At 38.6% G+C, this 17,084-nt stretch overlaps 1 long non-coding RNA gene across 2 annotated transcripts in view; it reads left to right on the forward strand.

Annotated features, from left to right (window-relative positions):
- LINC01630 (long intergenic non-protein coding RNA 1630) overlaps positions 1-17,084 on the forward strand; it is a 170,428-nt gene that overhangs the window by 59,389 nt on the left and 93,955 nt on the right. The window contains exon 2 of one of the 2 annotated variants that reach the window (NR_040075.1): positions 13,977-16,948. The exons of the other annotated variant lie outside the window; for it this stretch is intronic. This is a non-coding gene — a long non-coding RNA (long intergenic non-protein coding RNA 1630). Of the gene's footprint in view, positions 1-13,976; positions 16,949-17,084 lie in introns of those variants that run through there. 2 annotated transcript variants of the gene reach the window in all.

Consider the following 17,084-nt stretch of genomic DNA (forward strand, 5'->3'; position numbering starts at 1 on the left):
TATACATGTATTATATAATATATACATATATATGTATGTATATATGTATACATACATATATTATATGTATACATACATATATGTATATATACATATATAATACATATATAATATATAATACATATACATATATATGTATATATGTATATATTATATATAATATATACATAAACATATCCAGTATGTTTATATATACATATTATATATATACATAATACCTAATATATATGTTTATATGTAATATATAGTTTAATATATGTATATATGCTTGTATATGTATACATAATATATTACATATTATATGGTGTGTATATATTATATATAATATATCATACACACACAATTGGTGATATATGTGATACTTAAATATACACACATTTATATGTATATATGTGTGTATATACACACACGTGGTATATATAGAATATAGATATATATAAATTATATAAATGTGTGTATATATAATATGGATTTCATATATATCTTACATATGTGTGTATACATAAAAATATTTATAAAAAAAGAGATTTAGTATAGGAATTGGCTTACATGACTATGGAAGCCAAGAAATCCCACAATCTACCATCTGTAAGCAGGAGAACCAGGAAAGCCAGTGGTGTCACTGAGTCTGAGTCTCATGTCCTGAGATCCAGGGAAGCCAACAATGTAACTTCTAGTCTAAGGCCAAAGACCTGAGACCTGGGGGTGGAGGGGGACACTGGTGTAAGCTCTGGGGTCCAAAGGCCCAAGAATCAGGAGCTCCAATGTCCAAGGGCAGGAGAAGATGGGTGTCCCAGCTCAAAAAGAAGAGAGAGTGAATTTGCCCTTTCTCTGTCTTTTTGCTCTATTCAGGCCTTCAGTGGCTTGGATGATGCCCACCCACATTGGTGAAGGTGATCTTCTTTGCTCAGTCCACTGACTCAAAACATCCTCATAGACACACCTGGAAATAATGATTTCCCAGCTATTTGGGCAACCCTTAACCCAGTCAAGTTGACACATAAAATTAACCATCATAAGCCCTAATTCCCAGTACCTCAATGTGACTATGTTTGGAGACAGGGCATTTAGAGATGTGATGAAGTTAAAATGAGGCCATTAGGGTGGGCCCTAATTCAATCTGACTGGTATCGTTGTAAGACAAGGAAACTGGAACAACATAAAAAGAGACCCTAGGGGTATGTACACACATCTTGCCAGCAGCAGAAGAGAATGCTTGTTTTTTCTCAGCGTTGCCACTATGAGGCTTTAACATTTTTTGTTTTGTGTTTGGAAATCTAATAAGGGAAAATCATATTTCTATGTTTTGATTTGCATTTATTCATTAATAAGGTTAAGCATTGCTTCAAAAATTTGTCCACCATTCATGTTTTTATTTTCCTGAACTCTTCTTCATAACCTTTGTTCATTTCTATGTTGCTTAACTTTTTATTACATAAATAATATTTATAAATTAAATAACATTGTCTTTTGATCTCATATGTTGCAAATATTTTTCCAGTTTGTGATTTGTCCTCAACTTTGCTTATGACTTTTTGTTTTGTCACATTTATTAAAAAAATGTAGTCAACTTTATTGTCCTTTTCTTTTGTGGCTTCTGAGCTCATTATTTTAAAAATCTAAATGGGGTTTTTAGATTTGTAGATTAGGGAAATGCACAAAAACATTTCGGAGGACATCATCCACGTGTTTTGTAAAATTTTCCATGATATCCTTGAGAGTAAAATGGAGAAATGAGGGTTGGATGATGATATACATCAAAGTGTCTTTATAATTTACTCAATAATGCAAACTATAAATGTACATGAAGAGTGCTGATTAATGGATCCTTGTCAGCTTGGATTCCCTCGGCCTTGATGAAGATAAAAGGTATAATTCGCCTATTTTCAGATAGCAGAAAGGTCAAGGTGTGATATTTAATTCCCTGGATAACATAATCAAGATTTAAGAAGATCTTGACAGGCCAAAACACTGAGTTTAAAAATAAAACAAGTCAAATTTAAAAGAGATAAATCAAATATTTGTATTTTTTTACAGTTCAAGTATACAAGAACAGATGGGAAGTCCTGGAATACCAGAAATTCATATAAATAACAACTTCAACAAAATTTTAGTTCATAGTGAGTTAATGGTATACTAGGAAAAGCAAGAAAGCCAGTGTGGTCTTAGGTTCTTTCTGGCTTACTCAACAATATTTAATTTTAAAAAATTTAAATTCTGATAGACTTGCAGAGATTTGCAAAAAGGGTACAGAAATCCCCTTTCATCTAGATTTCTTCAATGGTAACATCCTCTGTAACTACAATACAATGTTAAAATCAGAAAATCGACATTTTTACATGCTACGGATCTTATCCATGACTCAGCAGTTTTTATATTCACTTATTTGTGTATGCGTGTATAGTTCCAAGCAATTTTATCACATGTATAGACTCTTGTATTCTTAACAGTTTTTAACTGGTAAGCAAAGTAAGGAAGAACAGACTTATCTATAGAGAAAAATTCATATATGTATTTCAGGAAAATTAAGCCTGGAATTTAACCTAAGTGACATATCCCAGATACAAGTGGGGACATGGGGTGAACTTATACAAAGTCCTCCTAGTGTATCTTGGTGATGCTTTATTTGCATTATCTCATCTAGTTCCCAGGGCTATGCTTAAGCTGTAGATAGCCAAATTGTGGAACTGAAAGAAAATGAGACTTTTAGCAATAATTTTAAAGGTATCTTAAAGGCCTGTCATGCAACAAAAGGCTATAATGTGTCATTCTAGTGGTCATTAAGAGAGATTGGAGGCAGTTACAAAGCCAACTTTAACTCAGGGAAATTTTTTCTAGCAAGGAGAGCTGTAAAACAGTGGCATTTGGCTGCCATGATAGCAACAGGCAGAAATTATTCAAGCAGAGGTAGAGTGATCACATTTCAAGAGGGGGTTACAGGGGATTCTTAAATTCATTAAAGTTTGGATTATAAGACTAAAAAATTCTAGGACTCTGTGTGGATGAATATCATAAAGAAGCTGGGATATTCGAGAGGATGGGTTTTTCTCTGTATTCCTGATTGGGGAAAGAAGAAGAGGGGAAGGAAAGGGAGAGAGAAGACGCTAAGGAGGAAGAAGGAGGGGATGATCCTAGTGGTACACATGCAGTAAAGAGATAACACAAATATTTTTATTTCTGGCACCTTACTCATCAACTTTATAAAGAACAAAGATTGTATTCAGTTATGGTGCCTATTAATTATTAAGATAATGATAGCAGTTTGATAGGTATTTCTGTTACTCTGTCATTCTCTCTTCTTTGCCTTTCTCTTTCTCTCTCTCTTTTTTTTTTTTTTTTTTTTTTTTGAGATGGAGTCTTGCTCCATCACCCAGGCTGGAGTGCAGTGGTGCGATCTTGGCTCACTGAAACCTCTGCCTCCCGGGTTCGAGCACTTCTCCTGCCTCAGCCTCCCAAGTAGCTGGGATTACAGGCGTGCACCACCATGCCCGGCTAATTTTTCTATTTTTAGTAGAGAGGGGTTTCACCATGTTGGCCAAGCTGGCTCGAACTCCTGACCTCGTGATCCACCCAGCTCAGCCTCCCAAAGTGCTGGGATTACAGGTGTGAGCCACTGTGCCTGGCTCTCTCTTTCTCTCTAAGTTGATGATACATGTTTCACCCTAAATAAAGTACATCTTGTAGGCTGCTGATACTGTTTTGACTGATTTTTCTAATTTAGCTTGAACAGACATGGGTTATTTGCTGGTAAGTTTGCATGTGTATTTATGTGACACAGGTTGGTAGTGTTATTTGTGTGTATGTTTATGTGACACGTGTTTGTTGATGGTCAAGATCTACGGAAACTGGGGTTATGGAGAGGGGGCTGCTGTCATGCTCTGAGGCCTGGTGTAATTAGAGCCTGTGTAAGAGTGAATGCCTCTCCAGTGGAGCTATAAAAAAGACAGCCTGCTCTAAAATCATCTTGAGGGAAAGAAAAGTTGTCAGGTATATCAGTTTGCATTTTGTCCAATTGGATATAATAGAACACCCAAATATAAAGACTTAAGCAAATGGAGATTCATTTATTTTTCACATAACAAGAAGCTGAGAGGTAGCATTTCTCAGCTTTAGTTCAGTGGCTTATTGATGTTAAGGCTCATATCTCTTTAATTTTCCTGGTTCTTTTCTCATGGTTGCAAGATAGCTGCGACAGCTCCAGTAGCCATGTAACCATTCCAGGAAGGGACAAGAGAGAGGAAAGAAGGGCAAAAGAGGAAGGATAAAGAGGAAGGGTTGACATAAACTTTTACTGGGAAATGCAAATGCCTTCCTAGATCCTTCTCTTGCAGACTTCCACTCTCGCTTCATTGGCCAGAATTTTCTATCCACAATTAATGGGATACAAAATTTGACTGAGACATTTGTACAATGCTTTAATAATATGATAGGAACCAAGACGGGAACAGAGAGATTTCTGTAGCTTTCAGATGGTTTAAGGACATTGATCTGTAAGGATGGACTATGGAACTCAGAGATTAGCTCGACCTTTATTTATATCGTCTGCCTTTTATATGCACATGTCTGGGATAAAAGAAGGAAGGTAGGGGGATAAGGATTTTGATAACTCCACCGAATTGAAAGCCGTACAGGATATGAACTAGGTCATGAAAACTCTCCTTGTGGTATTGCTGCAGCCATTCTCTGGAAAAAAATCAATTTATATGAACAATTTCTTCATAGTCTCTCTGATTTTTATTGTAAACATGGTGAGATGATGTTCTGGGCTGTTGCATTTTGGAATCAAAGTAGCTTTCAGAAGATCCTCTCTGTACATTTGAGAGTTGCATTTTAGTAATTGAGACCAGAGCTTGACTCCTTGTGTCCACGATGCCACTAAATTAAATTAAGTATTTCGTGGAAAGAACAATGAAAGCCCAAATTCTGTTATTATGCTGTTTACTTAATATGTATGAGCCTGCAGATCTTTTAAGTGTTAATGTAAAACAGACATTGCATTTGTAGGCTTCAATTGCTGGTTTTAGAAAATGTGTTTAGTAATGTAACTTTGATTGTTTAAGGGGACGGGTGAGGGAGGTTTGAATTAGCTCATTTTAAAATATCGGGAACCTAAGGGACAGGAGAATTAAGGAACTTGTCCCAGGTTTCCCAAGTGAAGCTGAGATTCAAAGTGCATCTTGTCTGCTCTGGCATCCATGGGACTTCCTCTTCATTAGGAGGAGGCCGTGAACTACTGCCAAACTCCATGAAGTAAGGAGAATTAGGTGTTGCTAGGTACATGAATGAGGCTCAGATTGAAAAGACTGTTCTCTAGGCCAGAGGTCACAGTGGTTTGGTGTTGGTTCTCTGTCCCTCTGATTTAGTATATATGTATGATAAAGTGATTTAGATGAGAGTTCATGAGATCGGTTTTGATGGCAACTGATGACCTTTGCTGTGGGTCTGGGTGCTCTCTGCCTGTTACTGCTTCCCAACACAAAGGGGACACCAGCCTCAGATATCTGTCCTTCTAGATGGGCTAGTACCCCATAGACTCTTGGCTTGCCAAGAGCCCTTATACAGCAGCTGCCACTGCATATCCAGCCACTTGGCATGCACCAGCCTGTCAGCCCAGTATCATCCGGGGAGGACACAGCCCCATTACCCCTCAGCTCTCCCCACCCACCCCAGAGAGGAGACTGAACATTTTCAAAGGAGCTTTTATTAAGGGGTGATTAAAAAAAGGAGAAAGGGTATAAAAAGTGAGGTGCATTGAGCTGAATGGAGTATTTCTGGCCACAGATGAGCTGAGCCAGTACATCTCATTTTTCTTCATTTTCATCCTGTCTAAGGGACCATGTTCTGAAGCCTGTCCTTGGAAGTTTCCCATTTTCTTCTCCCTTGTGGTGCCCATCCCCTCCAGCACAGAGGAGCAGCAGATGTGGTGGACAAGCATGTGCCAGGGCAAGGTTTGAGCATCCACTTGCATTCAAAGGCTTTTCTTTTTGAATGGCAAAGGCTGGTTTTCCCGTGCTTTTTTTTTTTTTTTAAACCATGACTTGCGGATGGATATTAATAGTACTAGTAAAAATAAAAATAAAATAAACAGAAAGGTTTTACTTGCATTCCTGTTTTCATGTCCAACTCTCTAGTGTCAGGTTTGACACTCTTCAAAACAAACCATTATATATTCTATATACACATACACACACATATCATTTTCACATCCATGTGTGTATGCATCTGATACATATACACACACATAGCTCTGTGTTTGTGCCATGGTTCTTGAGAGTGCTGGAGTAATGGATTGAGCTTATCTTTATCCATTTGTTTTCAAGCTCCCCTTCCTGCTTTAGGTAATGTAGCTGTACCTATCACGAGACATTAAAATGGACATATTCTTGGGCTGGGCGTGGTGGCTCATGCTTGTAATCGCAGCACTTTGGGAGGCTGAGGCAGGCAGATCACTTGAGATCAGGAGTTCAAGAGCAGCTTGGCCAATGTGATGAAACCCTGTCTCTACTAAAAACACAAAAATTAGTTGGGTGTGGTGGCGCACGCCTGTAATCCCAGCTACTTAGGAACCTGAGGTGGGAGAATCGCTTCAACCCAGGAGGCGGAGGTTGCAGCGAGCAAAGATTGTGCCACTGCACTCCAGCCTGGGCAACAGAGCTAGACTCCATCTCAAAAACAAACAAACAAAAAAAAAGACATACTCTTGGACACAGTAATTCCTTCTTCTTGGGAAATTATATCAAGGAAATCACTTAAAAGAAAGAGAAAGTTATAAAATACATTGATGTATTTTTTTAAACATATGTGGTGTAGTAATTTATAGTTTACAAGGACTTTTCACACATATTATTTCATTTCATCTCAAAAACAATCCTCCAAGGTAGCTGGCTTTATTGTTTTTCTCTCATAGTTTATAAATAAGGAAATGGGCTTAGAAAGATAGTGTGATTTCTTTAAGGTTTCAGACCTAAGTGAGTGGTAGAGTTTGGAAAGTTTTGTTTATTTTGGAAGCAGAGAAATTCAACCAGGAGATAGGGCACTACTCAAAAAGATCCACAGCAAAGCACATGTGCTTTGAAAGAGAAAATGAGAAATCCAGGTCTTGAGGCTCCAAGTTTAGTGTCTCTCTACTACTCAATCACCATTCCCAGTGGAGGAACTTGTTATTAACGTATGTTGTGCCAACCTGATGAACATCATAGAATCTCTACGTACTGTAATAACAGAGACTATGAAACAGAATGAAAAAGTGTTTATAGTATAATTTAAGTTATAACATAATATAAAAAGGTTGCATTTATATATAAATGTATAATGTATGTATATTTAAAGATAAAAATTAGAAGACAACATGGAAAAATAAGAAACAGTTGTGTTAACGGGATTGGAACTACATTTTCATATTTTTTCCGTAAATATCTATCTATCTATTCTATAGATAATTCTATCTATCTATTCTATAGATATCTATCTATTCTATAGATAGAATTAAAAATAAATTAAAATAAATAAAATAAATAAATAAATAAAATAAATAAATAAAATAAATAAATAAAAATAAAATAAATTAAAAATTCACATAGTAATAAAAACAAACACCTGAGTGGAAGTACTGGGCTAAGTTCATGCCTAATTCCATTTAATCACAACTTCATGGGGTAGATATTATAATTTCCACTTTGCAGATTTCCACATCCCCATGTCTTAGGATGGTTAAATAACTTCTCCAAGGTTATAAAGCTACAAGTCAAGACAGGGAGGACCTGGGTTTTTTCTCTGCTTCTTTCTATCCTAGACAGCAACAATTCTTCAATGTGTGTCACGCAAAGGGGACCATAGATCGTTAAATTGTCTAACTCATTTTTCATGTTGTGTTTACATGGACTCCCTTTTTTGTTTGTTTGTTTTTGATCATGGAAGAACTTTAGTTGATTGACAGACATTAGCATTCACAGAGTATGTGATTACTTAGAATTTTTTGTGGACCATCCACCAATACTTGATGAAATGCATTGAAGAAGTAGGAATTTACAATCTTCTTTGCAAAACAAAGATCTGGAATAGCAGAGGCTGCTCTGAGGGATGATTCTGAGTGTGTTGCTGAGACCTGGTCCTCTACATGTTTAACAACAGCATTGACCAGAATTTTAGCTCACATGGTAGGGGCATTTGACAATCTATGAACTGCAGAAGGTGAAACTGTACCTCATATAGTAAGGAACAGTGCTAGCCCCAGGCCTTTTCTTACACCCAGGAAGAAAGCCAGTGTTTTGTTGCTCGGTCTGAATTGGTAGAATAAGTGCCTCAGTTCTCTATGTCAGTTTGCCCAAGATTTAAGTGTTTTTGTTATGAAAAGTTGTACTCACCCTGCAGAAAGTAGTGTGAGTTTCTTGGTTATCATGGGGTTGGGGTTTTTCCAGTGGTGTAAAATTCTTCCCAAGACCTGAGTGATGAACTCACTGTAGAAGTCTCCTTCTCTGTTGCAGGTTACAGCATAGCTTGTCTGTGGGAATAGATTTCTCTTTGAAAGAGAGATTTACAGAAGGTCTTGGAGAATGGGACACAAAGTTGTCTTTCACATGCCTCCAGTGAAAGAGCTGGCTCCCAAATACTTCTCCTTCACAGGATGGGGTTTTAATCTGCAGACTCAGGTCCCTCCATCCTTATCTTTCCCCTTTTTCTCTTTCAAAACACGTGTACTTTCCAGAGCTTTCTTGTGGATCTTTTTGATTAATGTCCTGTTTTCCTTTGTTGGGTTTCCCTGCTTTCCAAACAAAGCAAAATAGAATCACCCCACTCTGACTTCCCCGACTCCCTGCTTTTGTTTACTGTACTGTTTTTTAAATCTTTTTTTTTTTTTTCCCCTGAAACAAGAGTCTCACTCTGTCACCCAGGCTGGAGTGCAGTGGAGCGATCTTGCTTTACTGCAACCTCTGCCTCCTGGGTTCAAGCAATTCTCGTGCCTCAGCCTCCTGAGTAGCTGGGATTGCAGGCACACTCCACATCTGGCTAATTTCTCTATTTTTTAGTAGAGATGGGCTTTTGTCATGTCGACCACCCTGGTCTGGAACTCTTGACCTCAGGTGGTCTGCCCACCTCCGTCTCCCAAAGTGCTGGGATTACAGGCATGGGCCACCACACCTGGCCTGTTATTTTAAATCTTGAAATGTGTTCTTATTCTGGGGCTTTTCTTTGGTGTGAAAATGGGCCTAGTAGTAATTCTGCTTAGTACTATGCATGGCATTCCTCTTCTTCAAAGCACTTCAGAAAGATTAATTAATCCTCTCGATTCCCCTTGTCCTGTGGGGACAATTCATACTTGGCCAACAATAGGAAGGAGAATGAAAATGATTCTTACTCTTTTCATAAATGGCTTCAAGCTGCAAAGTGCATTCCCAACACCAGCTAGAATATAGAATAAGCAAGAGAAGGAAAAGGAGAGATTTTGAGAGGAAAATCCTTCTGCCTCCTTCATGAACTTCTTCATCAAGGAATTTGGTGCAGGTTCTTCAGGGGATAAATTATGTGGAGCCTGCTTTGTTGAGGACGTGAGTATGAGCTTAATCCTGAGACTAGTTTTCTTTCTTTTTTTTAACCTTTAAGTTCAGGGGTCCATGTGCAGGTTTGTTACGTAGGTAAACTTGGGTCATGGGGATTTGTTATACAGATTATTTCATCACCACTAGGTAGTAAGCCTAGTACCAATTAGTTATTCTAAGCCTAGTTTTCCTTCTGATTTAAAATCATGGAATGTTAGAGGATTCAGATCTTAGAGATGCAGTAAGTCAACCCCTTGACTTTACAGATGCAAAAACTAAGGCTGACAAAGGTAGATTATATCAAGGTCACACAGGGCTAGAGTGGTTTTTTCCTTGGCCTGCCCTTGCTGTGTCTGTTAGATGACATGTCTGCTCATCTTGAAGGTCTTATGAGAATGGATTAGTTATATTGCTGGCCACTGCTAGGCTTAGCTGTTTGCATGGGGTTCCTGAGTAAAGGGGAGGTGACTTGCTGTAGCCATTCCCACTGGTGTGGCAAAGAAAGATAGAAGAACCATTGTTGTGTAAAAATGCTCTCTTAGTACATTTGGGGAAAATGGGATATAGAATAATCATTCATCTTCAGAGAGAGTCAATGGTTATTTGATTTAAACAAACATTCCATTATGGTATTCACTGTAGCAAATTCTGTAATTATAAGTTTTATGGCAACTCCCATTACTAAACCATTTTCATCCCTCTCCTAGCTGTCTGAAAAACTGTAAATTTTTTGGGAATTTTTGTGGCTAGACCCTGTCTGGTAGAGAATGGATGGCTTCTGGGAGCACAAGGAAGGAAAGAAAATCTCATTAGCTGCCTCTGAGTTATTGTGGAATGGGAAGAAATGTAAGCATATTCCTTTTTCAGTTTGCAAAAGAGTTGAGTGTTTTTCTTCTCTGTATTGTAAAATTGTGAAAAAGGAGGCAGAGAGATCCAATTTTCAAAGTTGCATAGAACCACTAAGAATAGCTGAGAAAAAAGATGCTTTAATGAGTTACTTCTAAGCACACTGTGACACAGCTGCTCAGGATTTCAGCATCTACCCTGCTGATGTTTAAGTTTTGTATTTTCCTCTGCTCTGTGTTAATTATTGTGTCCTTGGAATCTTGAGCTCTTGGAATTAGATGAAGGAATTGCATTCCTAGCTTGGGGAAGAGAGGCTTGGCAGGAAACCTAGGTTGTGGTCATTTCTGTGGTGGTAGGACCTACCCTTAGGGTTAAGTGGATCAACTTGGTTTTGTACATGGTTGATGTAATGCCACATGCCAATGTGCCTGACAAACACATTTTGAGAACACATAGTTCTGGAACAGGATTCAAGACACTCAAAAAATCTTTCCTCATCCTCTCTCGAAATGTAACTTTTTTTTTTTTTTTTTTTTTTTTGAGTCGGAGTCTCGCTCTGTCACCCTGGCTGGAGTGCAGCGGCTCGATCTCGGCTCACTGCAAGCTCCGCCTCCCAGGTTCATGCCATTCTACTGCCTCAGCCTCCCGAGTAGCTGCAACTACAGGCGCTCACCACCACGCTCGGCTAATTTTTTGTATTTTTAGTAGGTTTCACCTTGTTAGCCAGGATGGTCTCGATCTCCTGACTTCGTGATCCGCCCGCCTCAGCCTCCCAAAGTGTTGGGATTACAGGCATGAGCCACCGTGCCCAGCCGAAATGTAACTTTTATGACTCAATCATGAGCAGACTCTTCATCTTCAAGTCACTCTCTTGATTGTCTTCTCTGTGTGTTGTGTTTTTGACTCTGAGTTCCCTCACCCTGTCATTCCTTGTATCCTAATTCTAGTCACCTTTCAAGGATTACCTCAGTTTCTTAGCTTCATCTATTCCCAACCTCCCTAAACCCCATCATCTTAGACTATAAGTCTTCATTTTCAAAATTCAGAGAGCATTTACTTGCTGTACTATTTGATTAAGATATTTGCTTAAAATGTTTTATATGGTTTGCACATCATTTTATATGCATTGCTTGTCTCCCTATCTGGAGTGTCAGTGCTTTGGGGACAGGGACTGTCTTTTTTAATGAATCTGATTTTAGTATCTAGAGGAATTCTAGGACATAGTGTTTGCTTATTCAACAGTTTTGAGTTGTAATACAGTATGTATGAAAATGTCTTATTTCCCTTATAAGCTCTATAAGCTCCATTAGTATTTCATCTTTGGTGCCTTAAACTCATTTGATGCTTAATAAATATTTGTTAAGTGAATTATTTGTGATCACCTGAGCTTTTCAGGGAGGCTATTTGTCTTCAGCTTCTACCCAAATCTCCAGATGCTTCTCATCTCTTTTATAGGCATTAATGACTCTACTTCTGATGGAAGATTTTCACAGCTACCACTTATTATTTGTAGTGATTATAGGTATAGAGGATTATTTTTGGATGCTGTTGCCTTTCCTCTAACGCCCAGGTCTTTGTAAAAATTCTTTCTATGCCAAGTGCCCATTTGTGCACTTTTTTCTTAATCTTTCCTACATACACGGACACAAATGAAAACTATAGTATTCTTGCCATGTTCTGCATGCCTCTTCTTTGTGATATGACTTCCAGAGTCCTTAAACTTTGTTCGAAAATATGTGGGGATAAAAATATTGAATGAAAGTGTTCTCAAAGCACTGACCTATATAATATGAAATAAAAATTACCACAGCCATCTCCTTGCCACCACCTCTTCTTCCCTAATGCTGCGGAGCCACAGCTGTCCAGCTGTCTATTTCCCCAATGCTGTGGAGCCACAGCCATCCAGCTGTCTATTTCCCTAATGCTGTGGAGCCACAGCCGTCCAGCTGTCTATTTCCCTAATGCTGTGGAGCCACAGCCGTCCAGCTGTCTATTTCCCTAATGCTGTGGAGCCACAGCCGTCCAGCTGTCTATTTCCCTAATGCTGTGGAGCCACAGCCGTCCAGCTGTCTATTTCCCTAATGCTGCGGAGTCACAGCCGTCCAGCTGTCTGGTGTTTTCAGGTGGTCCTCCTGCATTCTTCCTCTTCACCCTGTGGCATCACGGAGGCTCTGCCTAAGGGCCTGAAATCCTGGCTGCTCTGTTGACCTGGTTAACCTTTCTTAAAAATTTATTATCTTACTTTAAAAAAAGCTCACAAGTATTATTTCCTAAAGTAATAATAGACATATTTTTTAGTTGAATTCTCTTATTGCCCTTTAACTATTCCTTCACTCATGTAATTATTAATATATAATTTACTTAATTCCATATATATATATATATATATATATATATATATAAATTTTTTTTTGAGACAGAGTCTCACTCTGTTGCCCAGGCTGGAGTGCAGTGGCATGATCTCATCTCACTGCAACCTCAGCCTCCCAGGTTCAAACGATTCTCCTGCCTCAGCCACCAGAGTAGCTGGGACTATAGGTGTGCGCCACCATGCCGGGATAATTTTTGTATTTTTAATAGAGATGGGGTTTCATCATGTTGGCCAAACTGGTCTCAAGCTGCTGACCTCAAGTCGGCCTCCCAAGGTGCAGGGATTACAGGTGTGAGCCACTGCGCCTGGCCCTAAATATCGTGAAGTATACAAATAGGAAAGGATTTTTTGTTTCTCTCTTTATTTATCAAACTTTTATTCAGGTTTGGGAGGTAGGCAGGATGGAGTAGATTGAGGCAGGAGAGGGCATCAAGAACAGGGAGGCCCATGCAGCAGAGCAGAGAGGCTGGGAGGACAGCAGGAGCTTGGGAACCCAATGTACCTGCCTTGAACCCCAGCTCTAATGCTAGCAGCTGTGTACCCTTTCCATTTCAAAATCCTATTGTTTGACTTCTTATTATTGAATGGTAGCATTCTTTATATATTATGGCTACAAGTCCTTTGCCATATATGTAAACTGTAAATAATTTCTCCAAGCCTGTGACTTTTCTTTTTTATCAATATTATTCTGTGATTTTTAGTGGAAAACTAAAAAAAAAACCAAAAAACAAAAAATAAATAAAAGGATGTATCTTGTTCCTGCTTCCTGGAGGTTGGCCATCTAGAAGGTGGCTTGAACAGCATTGGAGTAAAGGATCTGAGAAATAACACAGAGGCAGAGGCTGCACATCTGGAGTCTGGGGTCTTGGAGAAAAGAACTGTTTGTTATGACTGGAGTAATCCTTAAATGAAACCTTGATGGTTGAGTAGAGGAAGAAACAGGTGGAGTGGGAGTTAGGGAAGACTGTTAGAGAGAGGCCAAGGAGAGAGCAGGAACAAAGACCAACAGTAAAAGTGCATGAATGGTTTAGGGAGAGGCAGGCTGGCAGGATGTCGTGTGTGTGTGTGTGTGTGTGTGTGTGCGCGCGCAAAACGAAACAGAATAAATCAAAACACGGAGACACTTTTTTTCCCTAAAGTAAAGAAGCAATACTCAATCCGCTGTTTTATTTCTTGTAGCTGAAATTATTAACATGGGAATATCACTAGCATTTTTCCCATAGATGGACCGAAAATGCTGACGCCAATGCCAAGGAAAAAAGTGTCTTGAAAAAGCAGCCGTGGACGTGGAGTTACCAAATCATCCGAAGTGGCTCCTGGACCGGGTGGAGGAGCCAGGCTGCAGAAATGCAGTTCATCGCAGGAGTTTTCCTGAACAGAGAAAAGTCTCCACAGAATAGCAAAAATAGCAAAAACTCGAAGTCAAGGGTCTTGAGGTCTAAATTTTCTGTGTGACCCCAGGGAAATCGTTTCATCTTTCTAGGTCTTCACATCCTCACCTGAAAAATAAAGTGCTTGGCTAAGAAAGGCTTGAGGTTTTATTTGGCTCATTCTGTGGTTCTCTAGGTCAGTGTTTTTAAAGCTTCCTCACGTATCTGCTGCGTTCAGGAGCCTCAGTCCCAAAGAGTCAGTATTGGGTGGTAACTGCACTTTTCAGTGAGACTCTCATGTTCCACACTAGGCCCCCAAGGATGCTTCTGCAGGTAATCCATGCTGAGAAAATCTGCAAAGTCTTTCCAGCCTGGTCCAGTCCACACTTGTTTTGCCCTTTCCAACTCTAGACTATTGATTCCTGGAGGACGAAGAACTATTTTTAGCCTTCTTTTTCTGCACTGAGTCTCAGGCAGTGTCAGACTTACTTATTTTAGGAAATCTTTATTGAGACCTCCTGGATGCCAGGTATTGGGGTCACAAAGACAAAAGTTCCCTTAAGGATTACTGTCCAATTGGAAGGACATACATGCAAATGAATATATGCCTGGAAATTTGTTGATTGATTAAATGGGCATTTAATATATTTTTTTCAAACCCAGAGACCTAAATATTTACTGATCTTTCCCTACCATCCCATTAAATAACAGTTCTCCAGGATCTTTGAAGGAATATAAGCTCATGGAAGGGCAGAGATCATATCAGTCATTCTCATCCTTTTATAGGTACTTTTGTTAAGAGTCAACTGTGGCACAGATCATTACTTTACCTAGATCTTAATCCTAACAACAATATTTTTATGGAGAAGGAAACTGAGGCTCAGTGAGGCTAAGCCATCTGGCCAAGGTCATACAATAAGAGGCAGAGCTCAGAGTGGAACCCAGTGTGATATATCAAAATACAGTCTACACATCTTTCTTCCAAAGCATTTTTCCTGTAGCAATTAAGTGTGCCTGTAACTTTTCAGCTAACCTCCAGAAAGTTAAGATGGCTGTGTCTTTTATAAGATGTAATTATTTGAGAAACAAGTGACTAAAACTTGCAAAATCTGCAGGGAAGAACTTCTAGGCTCTTTGGAGTTTTTTTGCCCTGCACCAACATCCTCTCAAAGGCAAGGAACAGCAATTATGATAAAAGAGACCAGAAAGTGAAAGGAATAAACAATGTAGCGATTGCTCTGGGAAAACTATAGCTCATTTTTATTTTGATAATGACCTCTAATCTTCCCAGGGGAATTTTGAGCATGTATCTTATCTTAAAACATTTTTTTGAACTTTGGCACTTTTATTGCCTTTACAAGAACAGCTATGATTAAGGGATGACTCTCTTAGTTGCAATGGATGAAACAATTAAATGTGTTTACCTGCTGACATTCCAAACCACTTCTTGATAGGAAACAAAGGTGTGAAACAGCTCTGGTGTTTATGTGAACATAATTTTTTTCTAAATATTATTTTTTTTTTGTTTTGCACCCTGCTTAGAATGTACTTTTGATTTTCTTGAGTTTAGATGAAGTTGACAATCATGATGTAAAGCCAGATCGAAATAGAATTCCTGTTGCCATTTTAAGTTTATAATGTTTAACTACCTAATAATGGCTGGAAATTAAGTCTGGAATCACACCCAAGTTATACTACATATTCAATCAGGCTGAATTTGACGTTAATGATATGACTAGGAGGAGCTAGGAAACAAATTCTTTTTTTTTTTTTTTTTTTTTTTTTCTCATTTCATGAGGCACCCTATACCAGCAGTAAAATGTTTCTTAAATCAGAGGAAAGAATTGACCTTACAGTTTCCTTTTTTTTCTGAGATGGAGTCTCACTCTGTCTCCCAGGCTGGAGTGCAGTGGTGCAATCTCGGCTCACTGCAACCTCCGCCTCCCGGGTTCAAGCGATTCTCCTACTTCAGCCTCCCAAGTAGCTGGGATTACATGTGTGTGCCACCACAGCCAGCTACTTTTTGTATTCTTAGTAGAGACAGGGTTTCGCCATGTTGGCTATGCTGGTCTCAAACTCCCAACCTCAGGTGATCCGCCAGTCTTGGCCTCCCAAAGTGCTGGCATTACAGGTATGAGCCACTGCGCCCGGCCAGTTACTTTTAAAACTTGATCTAGAACGCTCTTGATTTTGGAATTATAATGCTTAATATTTTCCTCAATTATGACTGCCCAGATTTAGCCAAGGGCAATTAGAAGAGGAAAGACTGACTTCATCTTGACCCCTGGGGCCAGAGCTACTATAGCAAGGCCAACTTCAACCCGTATGGAAGATGTGGCTGCTGAGAGCTTCCTATAGAGCCCCTGACATAGGATAAAGGGAAAATATGTCTGTTTTAAATCATACTAACATTGTGATAAAGTAATATTATGTCCTTTGAAGGACCTAAAATAGTGCTAAATTGTATCATGACCAAGAAACATTTGTTTAGCATTTACTCTGTGCCAGGCACTAAACTAGGTATGAAGGATATAAAACTAAATAAGGTGTAATGTTTGTCTTCAAAGAGTTTCTTTATCCTGCAAGAAATTAGAGATGGCTAAATTTAAAAAAATTTTTATTAATGTATTTTTAATTTTTTTTTTAATTCATAAAATCCAGATCCTGCACAAGATAGCTGGACTTCTCTAAGGAATCAGAATTACAAGGAAAACATATTGATTTTATCCCTTTGTTAGTGAAAATAATACATTCAGATTTGAAATGGTCAATTGTTCACAGTGATTTTTGGCTGTTATGAATAAAGCTGTTATGAACATATGTGTAAGTCATTGCATGGACATATATTTTCATTTCCCTTTGGCAAATACCTTGGAATGGGAATTGTTAGATCACGTAATATGTATATATTTACATTTATGAGAAACTGCCAAACTTTCTGAAATGGTTGTCCTGTTTTAC

This window comes from Homo sapiens, chromosome 18 (assembly GCF_000001405.40).
Source record: "Homo sapiens chromosome 18, GRCh38.p14 Primary Assembly".
Taxonomy (NCBI): domain Eukaryota; kingdom Metazoa; phylum Chordata; class Mammalia; order Primates; family Hominidae; genus Homo; species Homo sapiens.